The sequence below is a fragment of the Homo sapiens genome, chromosome 9 (assembly GCF_000001405.40).
Source record: "Homo sapiens chromosome 9, GRCh38.p14 Primary Assembly".
NCBI classification, from domain to species: Eukaryota; Metazoa; Chordata; class Mammalia; order Primates; family Hominidae; genus Homo; species Homo sapiens.
The window spans coordinates 121,540,377-121,561,354 of record NC_000009.12 but is presented as its reverse complement, the minus strand read 5'-3'; the positions used below and the strand labels follow the sequence as shown (position 1 = coordinate 121,561,354).

At 51.8% G+C, this 20,978-nt stretch overlaps 1 long non-coding RNA gene across 1 annotated transcript in view, besides 2 other annotated features; it reads left to right on the top strand.

Moving 5' to 3' along the window:
• The window catches only part of LOC107987016 (uncharacterized), a 38,337-nt gene that overhangs the window by 5,630 nt on the left and 11,729 nt on the right, over window positions 1-20,978 (top strand). The gene's annotated exons all lie outside the window — the stretch shown is intronic.
• Window positions 3,031-3,325: an enhancer, noted in NCBI's record as "tiled region #14365; K562 Activating DNase unmatched - State 8:EnhW". NCBI's record gives its function as "activates a minimal TATA promoter and a strong SV40 promoter by Sharpr-MPRA in K562 cells {active_cell/tissue: K562}" and the evidence as "EXISTENCE:reporter gene assay evidence [ECO:0000049][PMID:27701403]".
• Window positions 15,136-15,185: a silencer, noted in NCBI's record as "silent region_20237". NCBI's record gives its function as "represses an Ori minimal core promoter by ATAC-STARR-seq in GM12878 lymphoblastoid cells {active_cell/tissue: GM12878}" and the evidence as "EXISTENCE:reporter gene assay evidence [ECO:0000049][PMID:35858748]".

The following is a 20,978-nucleotide window of genomic DNA, read 5'->3' as shown; positions in this document are numbered from 1 at the left end:
GGGATTACAGATGTAAGCCAATGAGTAAGCCACTGATTTTCTAGCTACATCCTGCTATTGAAGGCCAAATGGAACCCATAGAGGGCTCAGAATGTCTTACTCTTCCTGAGATTCGGAGCCAGGGTGGAGACTGACCTAAGGCGGGGGCACTTTCCTCAACCCAGCACCACTCGTCTGCAGGACACGGACCCTAGCCATTTAGCCAGACCCACGTGGGCTGGAATCCGGCGTCGGCTCTGGCTCCGGTGCCTCCCGACTGGGTTTCTCACCCCAAGGACAGGTAGCAGAGCTTAGTGATTTGGAGCTCAGGATCTGATATCAGCCTGCCTGGGTCCAAATCCCAGCTCCCCATTTTCCAGCTGGATGACCCTGGGCAAGTGATTTCACTCCTTAGTGCCTCTGTTTCCTCATCTGTAATCGAGGATAAAAATAGGCCATGCCTGGAGAGCCATTAGGAGAACTAATGAGTTAATTCAGGTAGAACTTAAAATGGAACTTGGGGCCAGGAGAGGTGGCTTATGCCTATAATCCCAGCACTTTGGGAGGCCGAGGTGGCGGATCACCTGAGGTCGGGAGTTCGAGACCAGCCCGACCAACGTGGAGAAATCCTGTCTCTACTAAAAATACAAAATTAGCCGGACATGGTGGCGGGTGCCTGTAATCCCAGCTACTCAGGAGACTGAGGCAGGAGAATCACTTGAATCCGGGAGGCAGAGGTTGCGGTGAGCTGAGATCGCACCATTGCACTCCAGCCTGGCCAACAAGAGCAAAACTACATCGCAAAAAAAAAAAAAAAAAAAAAAAAAAATAGAAGTTGGACCAGAGGAGGTGCTCAGTGAATCTAAAATCCATAGCCCATAGCACAGCCTGCCAGGCCCTGCAAAATCTGCCCACCAGCTCATCTCCCCCTCCTCCCATCTCTTTCCCCTCTCTCCTTGTCTCCCTCCCTCTCTCCTCCTTTCCCTTCTCTCCTTTTCCTTTCTCCCTCTTCCTCTCCCCCCTCCCCCAACCACATGGGCCTCCCAGTTTTTCTTTGCACTGCCAGGTGCATCTCACCTCAGGGCTTCCCTATTTCTTCTTTTTTTCTTATTCTTTTTTTTTTTTTGAGATGGAGTGTTACTCTGTCACCCAGGCTGGAGTGCAGTGGCCCGACCTCAGCTCACTGCAACGTCTGCCTCCCAAGTTCAAGTGATTCTCCTGCCTCAGCTTCCTGAGTAGCTGGGATTACAGGTGTGTGCCGCCATGCCTGGCTAATTTTCATATTTTTAGTAGAGACGGGTTTCACCATTTTAGCCAGGCTGGTCTGGAACTCCTGACCTCAGATGATCTGCTCAACTCCACCTCCCAAAATGCTGGGATTACAGGTCCCTCTATTTCTTCTGCTTGGGATGAGAGCCCCCTCCCCCGTGTTCAGGTCCTGGCCATATGCTGCCTCCTTTAGAGGCTCCCCTGATTACCCTCTCTAAGATATCATGACCCCTGCATCCCTGCCTCTCCCATGGCTCTGTCTGCCCCTGTCCCGGCTTTAGTTTTCTTCCTGGCCCTTCGGATCCCACCTGACATTATTTATATATTTATTTGTGTATCATTCTCCAGCCCCTACTTTCATGGAAGCTCCAGTCTGTATCCCAGCACCTAGAACTGTGCCCAGCACAGTGGGCCCCCAATAAACATGTACTGAATAAAATATTTGGCCGGGTGTGGTGGCTCATGCCTGTAACCCTAACACGTTGGGAGGCTGAGGCAGGTGGATCGCTTGAGCCCAGGAGTTCAAGACCAGCCTGGGCAATATGGCAAAACCCCATCTCTACAAAAAATACAAAAATGTGCCGGGCTTGGTGGTACACGCCTGTAGATCCAGCTACTCAGGAAGCTGAGGTGGGAGGATCACTTGAGCCTGGGGTGTTGAGGCTGCAGTGAGCCATGACTGCACCATTGCACTTCCGCCTGGGTGACAGAGCAAGACCCTGGCTCAAAAGAAAAAAAAAAAGTATCTGTGGAATGACTAAGCGTTGGCTGAGTTGTTATTTTTTTTTCCCCACTCCCTCTCGCCTTGTATGCACTCCATCCAGGAGCCCTTATTGAGGTACTGGGTTCCTTCTCTGTCACCCAGGCTGGAGTGCAGTGGCACAGTCTCGGCTCACTGCAACCTTCACCTCCCAGGTTCAAGCGATTCTCCTGCCTCGGCCTCCCAAGTAACTGGGATTACAGGTGCAGGCCACCATACCCAGCTAATTTTTGTGTTTTCAGTAGAGCCAAGGTTTCACCATGTTGGCCAAGCTGGTCTCAAACTCCTGACCTCAAGTGATCCACCCACCTCGGCCTCCCAAGTGCTGGGATTACAGGCGTGAGCCACCGCGCCTGGCTCTCCCTGCATCTTAATGCTTTTCTGGTTGGACTGGGTCCTCCCCACTTCTCATTCAGGGCTGGTACCCGGGGGCCAGAATGGGAGGAGGGAGACCAGAGGGTCTTGTACTCAGAGAGGCCTGGTACTCTCCATGCACCTCATATATCAACCTTCTAAAAAGGTTTTCTGAGCCCCATTTCACAGATAGGAAAGCTGAGAGGCGTTCAAGGGGCTGAGAAGCAGCAGAGCTGGGGCTTGAGTCCGCCTGACAGGAAGTCATTATTCGCCCCAAGTAAACACCCAGTGCCTCTTAGCCAAGGAGGGCAGAAGTATGTCTGGGTGGGGGTGGCAGGGAGGTGTGGAGGTGGGAAGGGGCCTTCAAAGAGGGAATGTCTGAGCCAGGCTTTGGTCTGCTCCCTGGTGGTCTCACCTTACATCCCGGGCCCCTCCCACAACTGTCCTTCTCCAGCCCCCGCATTTAGGGAGGCGGTGGTCTCTGCTTTATTATTATTTTTGCAAACTTTTATTTTAGGCGCAGATTTGTTATATGGGTAAACTCATGTCACAGGGGTTTGTTGTACAGAGGCTTTCTTGACTCATCTAAAGGCCTTGAACCAAGGGTTGGCACCGCCTTAGGAATTCTGAGCCAGCCCCAGGGGACGAGGGTGCATTGCCGGCGGCCCTGTCATCGGCTCCCCAGGGCAAGCAGGGGCCACAGACAGCCAGCTGCCCCATGTGTGTGCTTGCCTAGGGTCCTCGTGAGTTCCCACGTCCTCTCAGGGAATCCCAACTGTCCCAAGGAAACCCAGGCTCAGAGGAGGAAGTGGCTAATCAGCCGCACAGAGGGAGGATGTGACAGGCACCACGCTTTGGGGCTGGGTTAGAAATTTGAGTCCTCCGCTGTGGTGCGGCTGGGGAAGTTAAATAACTTGGCACTCCCTCCCCCAACACACAGCTGATTCCAGGGCCCAGACTCTCAACCACAATGCCCTGTGGCCTCCTCCTAGTGCTGCACAAATGTGAGGTGGAATTATTAAACAACCTCAAACCTTTCCAGGAAAGAAGGCAAGCTATAAATAAATGCCTGGAGTTGGGGGATTTCCAGGGCTGAGTGGACGGAGATGATGGTCTAGGGTCCTCAAAGTTCCTGGAAATCATCAGTTTCATGATGAACTGTGGGGCTGGACTTGAGATGTGTTGGCTGCTGGGTCCCACGGCTCTGCCTCGTGTTCCAGGAAGCTGTTCCCTGGATTCCCGTAGCAGGCACACAATTGTAGGAGGTCAAGGCAGGGATGAGACACAGGCTTGTGTGGATGGAGTGGGATCTTCAGCAGCTGGCAGGAATAGGGCCCTCTGTCCCCTTTCCCAGCCCCCAGAGCTTGGCCTTGGTGAGGCACAAGGGCCTGGCCATCATCCAAGAGAACCCCAGGCTTCCTGAGCTCTGTGTTGGAAGCAACTGGAGATCTCAACCAGTAAACCCTCCAACAGGGCAGCAATCTCCTGACATCCTTGATCTAAACTCCGCTTGCTTACCTCCTCAAATGGGGAACTCCCTACCTCCAGGCAATCCTGGTCCTAGCTTTTCTTTTTCTTTTCTTTTTCCTTTTTTTTTTTTTTTTTTTGAGACAGAGTCTTGCTCTGTTGCCCAGGCTGGAGTGCAGTGGCACAACCTCGGCTCACTTCAACATCCACCTCCTGGGTTCAAGCGATTCTCCTGCCTCAGCCTCCTGAGTATCTGGGACTATAGGCATACACCACCACGCCTGGCTCATTTTTGTATTTTTAGTAGAGACGGGGTTTCACCATGTTGGCCAGGCTGGTCTTGAACTCCTGACATCAAGTGATCCACCTGCCTCAGCTTCCCAAAGTGCTGGGATTACAGGCGTGAGCCACCACACCCCCTAGCTTTTCTTTTTTGTTTCCATTTGTACAAATGTATGAGGTACATGTGCAATTTTGTTACATGCATAGATTGTGTAGTGGTCAAGTCAGGGATACTTACGGGGTATCCATCAGGCGAACAACATCCATTGTACTCAGTAACTAATCTCTCATCCTAGTTTTATTCTCTGTGCTCACAGGGAGTGATTCTGCCCCGGGGAAGCCCCTGAAGTCATCAGAACTCCCCACATGAGCTCAGCTCTCTGCATTCCACCTGACCCTCCTCCCCAGCCACCCTTCCCCATGCTTCTTGGCTAGTTTTCAGGTTTTGTGGCCAGTCAGGATAAACCTCAAGAAGCTTGGAAGCATTTCACCAACCCGGCAATGACAGCAGTTTATGCAATTCAGCAAACTTTCACCAGGGACTATGCCAAGTGCTGGAGACACAGAGATGAATCAGTCAGTCACTGCCCGTGAGGCTCTCCACTCAGACGGGGATTGGGAGGGTGGGGAGGGATACCCGAGGCATCAGCCAGGAGGGGGCTGGATCAGCAAAGTGAGCCTACCTGGTGGAGGGGAGGGTTTGAAAGGATCCTTTAGGGTAGCTAATTTCCCAGTGACAGAGAGGGCATTTAGGATAGGTGGACACAAGAGAAAAAAGCCAGACAGGCCACAGAGCTACTGTTTGGCCCCAAGCAATATATTATATGTCGGGGTTGGCAAACTTATTCTGTAAAGGGCCAGGTGGTATTTTAGGTGCTCCAGGCCATGTAGTCACGGATGCGACTGCTCAACTGGCCACTGTAGCTTAAAAGCAGCCATAGACAATATGTCAATGAATGAGCATGGCTGTGTACCAATAAAACTTTATTTGTTGACACTGAAATTTGAATTTCCTGTCATTTTCTTGTGTCATAAAACAGTACAGTATTATTTTGATTTTTTCCCCCCAACCATTTAAAAATGTGAAAACAGGCCCTGTGTGTATGTTCATGCCTGTAACCCCAGAGCTTTGGGAAGCTGAGGTAGGTAGATTGCTTGAGGCCAGGAGTTCAAGACCAGCCTAGATACAAAAATTAGCCGGGTGTGGTGATGTGTGCCTGTAGTCCCAGCTACTTGGAAGGCTGAGGCAGGAGAATCTCTTGAACCTGGGAGGCGGAGATTGCAGTGAGCCGAGATCACACCATTGCACTCTAGCCTGGGTTACAGAGTGAGACTCCATCTCCAAATAATAATAATAATACCAGCCTAGGCAAATAGTGAGACCCCATCTGTACAAAAAATAAAAAAGTTAGCCTCAGGTGTGGTGTGTACAGGAGGATCCCTTGAGCCCAGGAGTTTGAGGTTACAGTGAGCTATGATTGTGCCACTGTCTTCTAAGGCCTGGGTGACTCTGTCTCTTAAAAAAAAAAAAAAAAAAAGCCAACCTGGGCCACATAATGAGACCCTGTCTCAACAAAGAAAAAATTTGTCGGGCAGATGTCATGCACCTGTAGTCCTAGCTACTTAGGAGACTGCTGAGATGGGGGGATTGCTTGAGTCCGGGAGGTCAAGGCTGCAGTGAGCCATGATTACACCACTGAACTCCTGCCTGGGCAACAGAGTGAGCCACTCTATCAAGAAAAGAAAAAAAAAAAAAAAAGGCTAGGTGCTATTCTGAGCACTTTAGGAGGCTGAGGCGGGCAGATCCATTGAGCTCAAGAGGTTGAGACTAGCCTGGGCAACATAGCAATACCCCTTCTCTACCAAAAATACAAAAATTAGTCAAGCAAAGTGGTGTACACCTTTAGTCCCAGCTACTCAGGAGGCTGAGGTGCGGGGAGGATTGCTTGAGCCCAGGAGGTCAAAGCTGCAGTGAGCCAAGATCACACCACTGCACTCTAGCCTGGGTGACAAAGTGAGACCCTGTCTCCAAAAAGAAAGAAAGAGAGAAAGAAAGAAGGAAAGGGCCGGGCATGGTGGCTCATACCTGTAATCCTAGCACTTTGGGAGACCGAGGCAGGTGAATCACCTGAGGTCAGGAGTTTGAGATCAGCCTGGCCAATGCAGTGAAACCCCGTCTCTACTAAAAATACACAAATTAGCTGGGCGTGGTGGTGTACGCTTGTAATCCCAGCTACTAGGGAGGCTGAGGCAGGAGAATCGCTTGAACCTGGGAGTCAGAGGTTGCAGTGAGCCAAGAGGGCGCCATTGCACTCCAGGCTGGGCAACAAGAGCGAAACTCTATCTCAAAAAAAAAAAAAGTATCTAGGCCAGTCAGTGGAAGTGTCCTTTCAAATCCTGCTCCCCATCCAGGGGTGACCACTCCCCATCCAGGTGGGTGACTGTGAGTTCAGCCCCTTTCCAATGCACACAGACATGTACACATGGGCACACACGCACCCACAAGCTTCATTATTCACACCACACACAGCTCATTCCACACGATGGTTCCGTGACATGCTTCTGTCACTTAGCATCTCCCCCGTGTCTTCCCATCTCAGCACCTGGATCCATCCTCTTTGATCTTTGTATTGACCACCAAGCATCACGTGGCAGGCTATGCCACCCTGCACCCAGGCGGTCCCCTACCATTGGGCATCCAGGCTGCTCCCTTCTCTAGGCAATTACCAGCCATGCTGCTGTGACCCTACAACATGCGGTTCTAACTCTGTGCACTGTTGCCAGCCTTTTAGTCAAAAAGATTCTCTGAAGCAAAAGTGCTGTGTTAAAGGGCACAAGAACTGAAGTTTTGGATCAGCGTGGCATCCTGTAGCAGTTTCCTGTCTTGCTGCCAGGAACAAGCATTGCAAACCCTCTGGGACCTGGGGAAGTCCTGTGGGGTGGTCAGGAACTGGGACCTCAGTGTCTCAGATGCCCCTAGGAGACTCTAGGGCTCAGGCATCACCAGGGTGGACAGACCTGCCTCCTCCTGCAAAGTTGGGCCGGGTACCTGTCTTGGTAGAAACCCTTGGGGACAGTTTATCCATCCATCCATCCATCCATCCATCCATCCATCCATCCATCCATCCTTCCATCCTTCCATCCATCCATCTGCCCATGGATTCAGCAAGTATTTCCTGAGCCCTGATTAGGTTCAAGTACTCGGGCTATGGTGGTGAGTACGATCATGTGTCTGCCATTTAAATCTTCACTGTCTGGTGAAGGAGGCACTTGTTCATTCATTCATTTATTTAGCAAATATTTATCTGGGTCTACTACATGCCAGATACCATTCTAGATACTGAAAATACAGCAGGGAACACAGGAGAAAGAAATTCCTGCCCTCATAGACTTACTTCTAGTAGAGGAGACAGATAAGGAACATATAAACATATGTCTAAGACGGGAAGTACCGGAGACCTCATCTGCATGCAGATTGGCCAGGGGAGACCTCCCTGAATAGAGATCTGAAAGCAAGAGGCAGGGCACTGTGCAGATATGATGGGGGGAGTTTCAAAGGGAGAGGGAACAGACAGTGCGAAGGCTCTGAGGCCAGCAGTGGTGGGAGAACAGGTCAGCCCCCGAGGGTCTCGTAGGCAGGGAAGGGCTTGGCTGTTACTCCAAGTGAGGTGGGGCCTGAGGGTGAACATGGCCTCACTTCCAGGCCAGGTGCCAGTTGGGAATAGACTGCAGGGGGCCAGGGCTGAAGTAGTGATGGGGCCAGGAGGCCACTGCACGTGCCTTAACAAGAGATCTTGGACCAGGTGGTCTAGGCGAGGTGGTGAGAAGGCGTGGGACTCTGGTGTATGTTGAAGGTGGTCACTGGCTTTCCTGACGGATTGGATGTGGGGTGAGAAAAAGGAGTGAACGATGACACCAAGCTTTTTGGCTTCCTGAACAGAAGGATGAGGGTCCCAGAAGAAGAGTCAGTGGAGGAAGGGGTTTGAGCCAAGAGCTTCATGTGAACTTGCTGGGCTGGAGGCATCCATTAGACATCGAGTGGAGAGGTGAGGAGCAGCCGGAGGACAGATTCAGGCTGAAATAGAATTCAGGGGCTGTCAGCATGCAAATGGGATTGAAACCCAGGCATCTGAAGGCCGGTGCAAAGGGAAGGAGAGTAGACAGAGGAGAGGAGAGGAGAGGAGAGGAGAGGAGAGGAGAGGAGAGGAGAGGAGAGGTCCCGGCCCAGTCCTGGAAGACACCAACATTAGGTGCAGGAGATGAGGAAGAACCGGCCAAGAGAACTGAGTAGGAGCAGCCAGCCAACAGGAGGAGACCTCAGAGACAGCAGTGACCTGGAAGCCATGGGAGGAGGGCTTTCAGCAAGGAGGGCATGGCCAGCTGGGTCAGGCAAGGCTGAGCAGCTGTATGTGCTGAGGACTGACCGCTGTCCCAAGATTTGGCAACAAGGAGACAGATGATAAGCAACAGCAACACAGTGTGATGAGGGCAGAGACCAGGGAAGCCCAGGTGACCATGGGAGCCCCAAGGAGGGGCACCCAATCAGGGAGGACTTCCTGGAAGAAGGGATGTCTAAGCAGAAACCTGAGGGGTGCACACACATTCCCCAGGTAAAAATGGGGAGGCCAGGCTGAGGGAACAGCACAGACAGAGGCCAGGAGCAGAGAGCAGGCACAGCTCATTTGGGGAACTGAAAGTAAATAAGCCTGGCTGTGATATGGGGCTCAGGAGGGCTTAGGGGTGGGCGAGGGTGTTATTCCTAGAACCCTGGAGAGATCAGCAAAGCAGATGGTGGGGTCCTCAATTAGAGACCAGACTTTGGTGATGGGTGGGTGATGGTAGAGGGAGGAAAGTAGGCTGGTGGCTGGAGAGATGGTGGAGCCATTCCTGAGATGGGGAACCAGGAAGGGAAGCGATTTGAGGAAGATGAGAATTCAGATGACTTTAGGATGCTGGAGGACATTTGAGGCGATATCCATCATCAGCTGGGCATGCAGGCTGGGCATCGAGTCTGGGAGGCGACCGCGTGCACAGGGAGGAGGCCAGACAGGGCTGGGTGAAGGGACACACACACTCATCTCTTTCTGGTGCCGCTTGAGGTCAGCCTGTGTCCAGCCACCCTCTGGGTGCTGGGGAGGGGCCTGGCAACCACCAGTCATTGTGGTTTGTCTCTCCAGACAGCAGGAGTCCAAGGGAAGCCCAGTGGTTCCTTAGACAGGCTGTGGTAACTGTGCCTCGTCCCTGCCACCTCCACCTACCCAGAGGCCACCGAGTGTCTTTGCACACCCCTCAAGCACCCACCACCAGGAGAGGTATGGTCACGAACATTCGCTCATGGCACAGCAATGTATGGAGCACCTGCTGAGTGCTGCATGGTCCTGGCCCTGAGAGAGCAGTAATGACCCAGGAAGACAGACCCCTGCCCTCCTGAGGCCACCGTCCAATGAAAGAGGCAGGCAATAAACCCATCATTAGAATCAAGTGTGAAGCCTGGGCGTGGTGGCTCACGCCTGTAATCCCAACACTTTGGGAGGCCAAGGCAGGAGGATCAGTTGAGGTCAGGAGTTCGAGACCAGCCTGGCCAACATGGCAAAACCTCGTCTCTACTAAAAATACAAAAATTAACCGGTGTGCACCTGTAATCCCAGCTACTTGGGAGGCTGAGGCAGGAGAATCGCTTGAACCTGGGAGGCAGAGGTTGCAGTGAGCAGAGATCGTACCACTGCACTCCAGCTTAGGTGACACAGCGAGACTCCATGTGATGTTGAGAAAGGGAAGCCTGGGGGACCTTTGGGGGCTGGGCGGCAGGGGGGTGCTTCCGGGAGGAGGCAACATTTAAACTATAGGTCTGAAGGATGAGTCAGAGTTAGCCAAGAAGAAAAAGGAGTGAAAAGGTGTTTGAGTGAATGGGAATGGCATGTGGGAACCTCAGAGGTAAGAAAGTGCCTGACAGGTTTAAGGGAATGAAGGGATTAAGTGAGATGGAGCATTGGGTGTTGGCGGTGGTAAGGAACCTCAGGAGTCAGGCTTAGGGACTTGGACCTTCTCCTGAGGGCGATAGGGAGCCATTGCGTGTCTTAAGCAGGGAGTGGCTTGCTCAGATTTGCATGTGGGAGAATTCAGAGACAGATCAGAAACACTCAACCTCAGCCCAGAGGGGCCCAGGCAAGACCCCCCTCTCCCTCCTCTGTAGTTCCCTTGACGCGTGAGGTGGGTCAACACGGCTTGCACTCCCCCAAGGACCCGAACCTAAGGTCCTCTGGAGGCAGGCCCCAAGCCTGTCCTAACAAGTGCCGTGAGAGCCCTCCAGGCCTGCTCTGGGAATCCAGTCTTGTCGCCAGGAGACACGAGCCCATTTGACTCCGGTGGGGGGAGGTGGGCTGGGCGGCACCACCGCGTGAATGCTCCGGAGCTACCCACGGAGGCGACTGACTGGCTGCCAGCGTGCGCTCCGGATGCCACCTGGTAAGGCTGTCGGCGGGAGGCCAAAGAAATCAATCAGGTCCCGAAGACACGCCGCCCCCTCCCTGCCACAACAGTCCCCTGCCCTCGGAGCCTGGAGAGGCTGGGCTGTCCCCGCAGCGCCACCGTGTGGGCGAGGTGGTCACGACGGCAGGTGGTCGGGGCGCTCAGCTGGAGGTGCTGGTGCTGGGGAGAGCGGAGGACACCGCGGGATCGGCAGGCGTTGGGGACCCCACGGCAGCCATCGATCCTATTCTCATCACATAGTTTCAAATTAATTTTTTCAAAACGGAAACATATTTGCGGCCTGTTTGTGACTTGTAATTATTAAGTAATAATATACTTCCTGAAAACAACATGCAAACTCCATGGACTATAGAAAAAGGCAGGCATGGGCAGCTTCCCTGCAGAATTCCATCCCACCACAACCTCTGATTGCATTTTGGCAAACAGGCTTCAGATTATTTTTCTGGCTTCTTTTTTTTTTAAGTCAGGGTCTAGCTCTGTCGCCCAGGCTGGAGTGCAGCGGAGCGGTCATGGCTCACTGCAGCCTCCACTTGCCTGGGTCAACCGATCCGCCCACCTCAGTCTCTCAAGTAACTGGTACTACAGGCACGCACCACCATATGTAGGTAGTTTTTTCATTATTATTTTTGTAGAGACAGGGTCCCACTCTGTTGCCCAGGCTGGTCTCAAACTCCTGAGGTCAAGCAGTCCTCCTGCCTCAGCCTCCCAAAGTGCTGGGATTACAAGCATGAGCCACCATGCCCAGCCCAGATTTTCTTCAACAGAAAGAATATATGTATATGTATATATATATATATATATATATTCACACACACACAAATGAGGTCATATTGCATATGCCTAATGTTCTGCCACTTGCTTTGCTTTTTAAACATTTTTATCAACTGTGGAGTTCGGAGAAAAGAATATTTATTTAGATTGGGCTTGGTGGCTCACACCTGTAATCCCAGCACTTTGGGAGGCCGAGGTGGGCGGATCATGAGGTCAGGAGATCGAGACCATCCTGGCCAACATGGTGAAACCCCATCTCTACTAAAAATACAAAAATTAGCTGGGCATGGTGTCATGTGCCCATCATCCCAGCTACTCGGGAGGCTGAGGCAGGAGAATTGCTTGAATCAGGGAGTCGGAGGTTGCAGTGAGTGAGCTGAGATCGCCCCACTGCATTCCAGCCTGGCAACACAGCAAGACTCCATCTGGAAAAAAAAAATTTATTTAATATACGTGCAGTATATGAATCAGGTTGAAGTGGGACACTGTGTGCCCACCGTCCAATTTAAGAACATTTTAATTACCCTGAAGTTTCTTTTAAAAATATATTTTTCCCTCCTTTCTCACCTTATTATGGATTATATGGGTTTTTTTGTTTGTTTTGGTGGGTTTTTTTTTTTTTTTTTTGGACAAAGTCTTGCTCTATCACCCAGGCTACAGTGCAGTGGTGCGATCTCGCTCACTGCAACCTCCGTCTCCCAGGTTCAAGCGATTCTCGTGCCTCAGCCTCCTGAGTAGCTGGGATTACAGGCACCCATCATCACGCCTAGCTAGTTTTTGTGTTTTCAGTAGAGACGGAATTTCACTATGTTGGCCAGGCTGGTCTTGAACTTCTGACCTCAAGTGATCCGCCCACCTCGGCCTCCCAAAGTGCAGGGATTACAGGCGTGAGCCACCAAGCCCAGACTGATACAGTACTTTTAATTAATCCATGGCATTGCTTTATTAATTTGTTAGTACTCCTTTCTTTTAGTGGTTATCCTAAAGATTATAATGCGTATCCTTGACTTATTAAAGTCTGCTACAGACAAACTCTCACTGCTCGTAGGGAAATGCAGGAAGTTTAGACCACTTAAAACTCCATTTACCCCCTCCTGACTTGGATGCTATTGTCATCTGTTACCATCTGCTATTTGAATCCTTTATATATTTCAAACTCCACAAGACCTAATTATTATTGTTTTATACAGACAATATTTGTTTAGATTAACCAAATATTTTCTCTCTCCATTGGCCTTCATTTCCTCCCAAATCTCCAAGTTTCCATCTGGGATCCATTTTCTCCTGCCTGAAAATCACCCTTTGCTAATTCTTTGATGGGGACGTGCTGGTGATAAATTCTTTCCATTTTTATTTGTATGAAATGTCTCAGTTTCACTTGAATTTAAAAAAAAATTTTCTTTTTCTTTTTATAAAATCAGATCTTCTAGAAGAGGCCACCTTTGTTTTTGAAGAGTATTTTTTGCTGGGTACGTTGGTGTAGGCTGGCAAGAGAAGGCAAGAAAAGAGAGAAAAATAACCGTGTAAGTGGGACAAATAGAAAACAAACAGTAAGACCAGTGGCCTAGACCAGGCACAGTGGCTTACACTTGTAATTTCAGCAATTTGGGAGGCCGAGGCAGGTGGATCACCTGAGGTCATGAGTTCAAGACCAGCGTGGCCAACATGGCGAAACCCTGTCTCTACTAAAAATACAAAAATTAGCCGGGCGTGGTGGCACAAGCCTGTAGTCCCAGCTACTTGGGAGGCTGAGGCAGAATTGCTTGAATCTGGGAGGCGGAGGTTGCAGTGAGCCTAGATCACGCCACTGCACTCCAGCTTGGGTGACAGAGCAAGACCCTATCTCAAACAAAAACAAAAACAAAAACAAAGGCGCAAATCAGATCTGCCTCTCAAAGTTGCTGGAGGGACAGCATGGGGCCAGGGGTAGGGAAAAGCAGGTAGCGACAGGGGCAGAGAGGGGTGGGGATGAGAGTGGGCCCGTATGTGACAGGACACTCCCTGGGGTCAGTTCTTCAGAGCTGGGGGCCCGGAGTTGAGGATGGGAGTGGAGAAGGGAGATGGGGCAGGGGTAGACTCTGGAGTTTGGCAGCCAGGGGAGCCTCAGCGGTGGAGCTGAAAGAGCCCTGGAAGCGGTCCTTGGAGAGTATTTGGGGAGGAAAGCAGGGGATTGCTAAGGAAACCGTCCTACAACAACCCACTCCAGTCGGAGCTCACTGAAGTTCCCGAATAAGAACTCTCTTCTCTTTCAGGGTGCAGCTTCCTACCCACATCTGCACCTCTGAGGGGGTGTATGTATGTGCTGGTGTGTTTGCGTGTTTGCTTTATGTGAGGGGTTTATGTGTTCTTGTGTGTCTGTGTGCAGCCCCTCTCACTGCATAACCACTTTACCCCCATGGCCTGGCTTTCTCTGCTCAGGGCCTCGTATATGCCCGTTCCTCTGCTGGAAAACCCTTTCCCTCCCCTCCCCTTTGCCTGGTGCTCTTCTGCCCATTCATCAAGAGGAGGTGGAGCCCACACCTGTAATCCCAACACTTTAGGAGGCCAAGGCAGGAGGATCCCTTGAGCTCAGGAGTTTGAGACCAGCCTGGGCAACATTGTGAGACTCTGTCTTTACAAAAAAAAAAAAAAAATTTAAATTAGCCGGGTGGTGGCACTCACCTGTAATCTCTGCTACTCAGGAGGCTGAGCTTGAGCCTGGGAGGTTGAGGATACAGCGAGCAGTGATTGCTGGGTGACAGAGCAAGATCTTTTCTCAAAAATAAAAAACAAAGGAGGGGGAGGGGGAGGGGTCTTCTCCCCCAAAAGCCTTCCCTGACCTCCTCACATGTCTAGTGAGGGGCTCCTCTGGTATTCTCGCACCTCTGCCCTGGGCTTCTTTCTCCCCCAGCACTGATCACATTGGGTGCTAATCTCTGGTTCTTGTGTCCATGAGTTCCTCAAGGGCAGGACAGGATCTTGTCTATTTCTATATCCCTGGCACCAGGCAGGGACCTGTCACAGAGAGAGGCTCAGAGGATGCTTGTTGAATGAATGAATGAGGGAATAAGTTAATGACCACATGAACAGCCACTTCTTCAGAAGGGTTTGGGACACAGGCAGGTCTTCCTCGTTCAACCCAAAAAAACAAATTGTCATCGGAGCTGGCGGGTCCTTTAGAGATGAATCCAGAGGCCAGGTGCGGTGGCTCAAGCTTGTAATAGCACTTTGGGAGGCCGAGGCGGGTGGATCACCTGATGTCAGGAATTCGAGACCAGCCTGGCCAACATACTGAAACCCCGTCTCTACTAAAAATACAAAAATTAGCCAGTCATGGTGGCAGGCGCCTGTAATCCCAGCTACTCGGGAGGCTGAAGGAGGAGAATCACTTGAACCCAGGAGGCAGAGGTTGCAGTGAGCCGAGATCGCGCCACTGCACTGCAGCCTGGGCGACAGAGTGAAACTCCGTCTCAAAAAACAAAACAACAACAAAAAAAAGAGAGATGAATCCAGGATCCAGCAGCATGGACCTTACCTGGGAGCTCATTAGAAATGCGGCTTCCCAGGCCCCACCCCAGATCCACTGCATCAGAATCTGCCTTTAAAAAGATTCCCAGGTGACTCACATGCTCTTAAAAGGTGAGCAGCTCTGCTCCCAAGGGCTCCACCTCCCATTTTATAGACAAGGGAACTGAGGCCTGCGGAGGGCCGGGGCCTGGCGAGGCCTGGGCAGGAGCAGGACGTCAAACTGGGCGGCCTCCCAGCGGCTCCGGTCCCCGCCCCGCGGGTCCTCCTGCTTCCCGCCCCGCCTGGCCTGTCCAGACCTTCCCAGCGGCCTCCTGAGGTCTTTGCAAGGAGCTCGCACTCCCCCTGGCGGGCATAGGGAGGGACGGCCTGGGCTGAGCTGGCCGAGGACGGGGAAGAGATGTGGCCTTAGGGACCGGGCGGGGGTGGAGAGGGCCAGCAGGGAGCCAGGGTGTGAGAGGTGGCCAGGTTAGCGCCCCTGCTTTGGAGAGGCTGCCTGAGCTCATCTTGGCTACTCACCACGCGCCACCTGTGGAGTCCGGAGCCTCTGCTCGCCTCCTGCCAGGGGAAAGAATAAGAATGGAGCCCACCTCACTCGCTCCTCGTGAGGATCCCATGAGGATGCGCCGACGTGAGGGGCCAGCGGGGTGGAAAGCCTCCCGCCTGCAGAACACCCGGAGCGCCTCCGCCTCCATCCCAGGTGTGGGCGAAGCCGGCCTGGGCCCAGCCCAGCGCTGCGCCTCAGCCCCTCGCCTCCCACCCATGGAAGAGGGGGTTTCCAGAGCCCCCAGCGGCCCTCCCCTCGCACTGGGGGTCGCAGGCCCACGGAGAAGGCTGTAGAAACGCCCACTCCTCGGCGGTGGTTGGGGGGACGGTGCCCAGTCCCTGAGGCCCTGGGATCCCAGAGCCTGGATTCCGGAATGGGATGACTCTGGGGGGCAGGAAGTGTCGGAAAAAGCACGTGCTCTGGAGTCAGACAGACCAGGTTCAAGTCTGGCTCAGCCACAGACAGGCCAGTGATCTCGTGGCTCCTGCCTCAGTTTCCTCGCTTGTGAGGGACCTTCCAGGACTGTTGTGACACTTATGTGAGGGCTGTTGAGCACCCTGCACATAGTAGGCCCTATGGTCATGGTCACTGTTGTAACTCACAGCGTACAGTAGGGACCAGAGGATGGGGTCAGTCGGGTGGTCAGCGGAAGATGCCCCCTCACACCAGGGCACTGTCACGCCCAAGTACAGGGGCGGGGTCTCTGAGTCCTTTCTGGGCAAAGTTGTGATATCAGGGCAAAGGAGGGTGGGGGAAGGGACCGGTAAACGAATTGGAGCATGTTTTTTTTTTTTTTTTTTTGAGACGGAGTCTTGCTCTGTTGCTCAGGCTGGAGTGCAGTGTGCCATTTCGATTCACTGCAACCTCCGCCTCAGTTCAAGCAATTTTCCTGCCTCAGCCTCCCAAGTAGCTGGGATTACAGGCACCTGCCAACATGCTCGGCTAATTTTTGTATTTTTAGTAGAGACAAGGTTTTGTCATGTTGGCCAGGCTGGTCTCAAACTCCTGGCCTCAAGTGATCCGCTGGCCTCAGCTTCCCAGTGCTGGGATTATAGGCGTGAGCCACCACACCTGGCCTTTTTTTTTTTTTTTTAACAGGCTCTTGCTCTGTCCCCCACACTGGAGTGTAGCAGCTCACTGCAGCCTCAAACTCCTGGGATCATATCATCCTCCCACCTCAGCCTCCCCAGTAGTAGGGACTACAGGTATGCACCACCATTCTCAGATAATTTTTACAAAAATTTTTGTAGAGACAGGGTGTCCCCATGTTGCCCAGGCTGGTCTCTAACTGGCCTCAAGTGATCCTCCTGCCTCAGCCTCCAAAGTAAATGGGATCACAGGCAGGTGCACCTGGCTGAGGAACACAGGCTTGAGCTGGGCAGATTGAAAGCCTGATGTCCCCCTGCTCTCACCACTGGGCTGCTTTCCAAAGTGCTAGCTTTGAGGTCAGTGGCCACCAACCTTCCCAGGTGGGGTCTTACCCTGAAGCCATTCTGCTTCTGCTTCACCCACAGGCCTTTCAAAGGGATGCCCCACCACGTGACCCTAGGCCCCCTACCAGGGGTCAGCCCCTGCCCCAAGGACACCCTTGCAGGTCTGTTAGTGACCTGAGTGGCTTGGCTAGGAAAAATGAGCTGAACCAAACCAATATCCTGCTGAGTTGTGGAACTGGGAAACCAAGAGAGTTGAGCAGCAGGCCAGGTGACCAAGCACTCCGCCTTGCCCAGGACTTTCCTGATTTTTAAACTGAAAGTTTATCTTTCTAATAAACTCATATATATATATATATATATGTATACACACACACACACACACACACACACACACACACACACACGTATCCTACTAGTTCTGTCTTTCTGGAGAACCCTGACGAATTTATATGTCTGTGTGTGTGTGTGTGTGTGTGTGTGTGTGTGTGTGTGTGTGTGTGTTTGTGTATATATATATTAAAGATGAGAGACTGGCCGGGCACAGTGGCTTATGCCTGTAATCCCAGCACTTTGGGAGGCCAAGGCAGGGTGATCACTTGAGGTCAGGAGTTCGAGACCAGCCTGGCCAACATGGTGAAACCCTGTCTCTACCAAAAATATAAAAAATTAGCCGGGTGTGGTGGCGGGCACCTGTAGTCTCGGCTACTCAGGAGGCTGAGGCAGGAGAATTTCTTGAACCCAGGAGGCAGAAGCTGCAGTGAGCCGAGATCACACCACTGCACTCCAGCCTGGGTGACAGAACAAGACCCTGTCCCAAAAAAACAGGGCCAGGTGCAGTGGCTTACACCTGTAATCTCAGCACTTTGGGAGGCCAAGGCGAGCGGATCACAAGGTCAGGAGTTTGAGACCAGCCTGGCCAACATGGTGAAACCCTGTCTCTACTAAAAATACAAAATTAGCCAGGCATGGTGGTGTGTTTGTGCCTATAGTCCCAGCTGTTTGGGAGGCTGAGGCAGGAGAATTGCTTGAACCCGTGAGGCAATGGTTGCAGTGAGCCGAGATTGCGCCACTGCACTCCAGCATGGTCAACAGAGCAAGACTCCATCTCAAAAAAAAAAGAGAGAAAAGCATATAAATTTATTTCAGATGAGTTTTATGTAAGTTCTATGTAATACAGGAGCTTTCATAAAGAAATGAAGACGCAAAGAAGCCATTAAACCTGACTGTTTTTATGCTAGGTTTTTTATTTTTTGTTTTTGGGACAGAGTCTTGCTCTGTTGTCTGCTGGAGTGCAGTAGCGCACTCATGGTTCACCACAGCCTTGAATTTCTGGGCTCAAGTGATCCTCCCACCTCAGCCTCCTGAGTGGCTGGGACTACAGGTGCGTGCCACCACACTCAGCTAATTTTTGTGTTTTTGTAGAGATGGGGGTCTCACTGTGTTGCCCAGGCTGGTTTTATGGTAGGTTCGACAAAGCAGAAAGTCACGGAAGAATGGGATAGACAAAGAGCTGAGTGTAATCAGCTAGGGGAAATTTACTGAGGCCTGTTCATTCAGATTCCTCTTGACATCCTTTCATCTTCAGAGTTTAGGAGGCTCCTTTCCTCTGGGTAGAGAGAGGGCACCTCTCACAAGTGGGTTTTATGACCTGACAGGGGAAGGTCAGAAAGTCTTTCCTGAACATGCCATTTCTCAAATTCCTTCAGCTTGAAATAGTCAATATGCCCAGATGGGCCTGGCGCAGTGGCTTACGCCTGTGATCCCAGCACTTTGGGAGCCCGAGGCAGGTGGATCACAAGGTCAGGAGTTTGAGACCAATCTAGGCAATATGGTGAAACCCCGTTTCTACTAAAAATACAAAAAATTAGCTGGGCATGGTGGCGGCCACCTGTAATTCCAGCTTCTCGGGAGGCTGAGGCAGGAGAATCACTTGAACTGGGGAGGCGGAGGTTGCAATGAGCCAAGATCATGCCATTGCACTCCAGCCTGGGTGACAAAGCGAGACTCCTTCTCAAAAAAAAAAAAAAAAAAAGCCAAGATGCCGTATCGGGGGTATCCTGCCCTGAGCCCTGTCAACATTAGCACATCGTGTTTATCCATTCATCTGTTGGTGACCTTGAGTTATTTCCACCTTCTCGCTGTTGTAACTAATGCTGCTATGAATGATGGTGTGCAGACATCTGTTTGAGTCCCTGCTTTCAATTATTTTGGGTCTATAGCCAAGAGTGGAATTGCTGGATCATATGGTAATTCTATGTTTAACTTTTTGAGGAGCCGCCAGACTGTTTTCCACAGCAGCTTCTGCTAAGTGTTCTTAATGCCTTATCTCATGAAGCTCTGGCAGCCACCACCCACGAGGGTGGCCCTGTCCTGGCCCACTTCACAGGGGAGGACAATGAGATTCAGATGGATGAAGTGAAGTGTCCCAAGTCCCTCAGCTAAGAAACACAGAGCCAAGATTCAAACCCAGATGGACTGATTCCATGAGCTTGTGTCACCTGGCCCTGGGGTGGCTTGGGTCTCCATATTGGCAGACTAGGGACTAGGAGGGGAAATAGAAGGGCCACCAAAGAAAGGAGAGGAAAGGCACAGGAGAGAAGCAGAATGCCATAGCCCTGCAGGGCCCACCTCAGCCCCCCACCAGCTCCCTGGCTCTGGGAGCCCAGCGGTATTGGGCTTCCTGGATAGAAAGGATGGATCTGTCTCTGCCTATCAGCCTCTCTTCTGGATGTCCATTTTCCCTAAGGAACTCCTAAAACCTTAGTCTAGGGGATTGAGTTGCCTAGAAGTGGGTGGAGACACAGACCTAGGCAATCAGTGTAATTCTTTCCCCCTGGCTGTGGTGATTGGTTCAGAGAAGGGCCGGGTACCTCATCTGGCTCAGTGAGACTTGTGTCTGGCTGGGACCATGGTTAGAACTGATAAGAAGAGAAAAACTGCTCACTGGCAGCTGAGAGGGTGGGATTGAGCCAGAGGTTGAATGAGCAGGGAGGAGGCAGATGAGGGAAGCAAGATGGAGTGCTGGATCCAGCAGTACCTGAAGCCAGATAAGCCAATACCTCCTCCTCTTCCTTCTTTTGCTCGAGGTTAGCTTGGGATTTTTGCCATTTGCATCCCAAGGCACCCTGATTTGGAGATTTGGGGGTGTTGAGAGAATCTCTGCTCCCTGGCTGCCCTACCTGTGCTCGTGCCATCCACTTCCCCTTCTGTGAGCTGGTCAGAGCAGTCCTGTTCATTTCAACCACCTCAGCCAAACCAAAACAGAGGGACCTCACCACAGCCTGGAAGGAACCAAGAGCCTGAGACAGTGACTCGGTGGTTATGGGGCTGAGACCCTCACCGGAGCCTGGTACAGTGTCCTGATAGCAGGACCACCCAGGCAGGGTGACAGAGGCCTCCATTCCAGGGAGGAGCCCTGGAGCTAGTGATGCTGGAAGGCAGATGAATGAGACTGTACCTTTCCAGACAGCTCGGGGCTTAAGAGAAAGACTCAGTTCCCAGGCTTCCACAGGGACCACAAACTCAAAGTACTCACAGAGTCCCATAAATCAAAAAATCAAGTCCTCTGAAGGGGAACCAACCCTCTTGATAGTTTTTTGTGTATGGGGGGGTTTTGTTTGTTTTTTAGACAGGATCTCACTCTGTCACCCAGGCTGGAGTGCAGTGGTATGATCATGGCTTACTGCAGCCTTAACCTCCCGGGCTGAAGCAATCCTCCCACCTCAGCCTCCCAATTAGCTGGGAATACAGGTGTGTGTCACCACGCCTGCTAATTATAATTGTTGTTTTTGTAGAGATAGGGTCTGTATCTTGATAGTCTAAACACCTCCAGGGGAAAGGCTAGGCCAGCAGAGAGTGGGCCATGCAGCCCACATGGTCTTGGCCTCCTTGGAAGCGGTGTACTGTCTTTGGATTGGCGTGATGGGAAGGCTGTCACCGAGGGCATTCTTCACCCTCCGCTCTGTCATCTTCCCCTGGAACCCTCCATTGGGCCCAGGGGCACCTTATTCCTATCTCAGTACCAGCGTCCTGCTTCTCCTAAGCAATTGGTTTGTCATCCTTCCTAGACTTTGGACATTGTGTAAGTGGCCACATTTCCCTTTTCACACCACTTGCTAGGAAG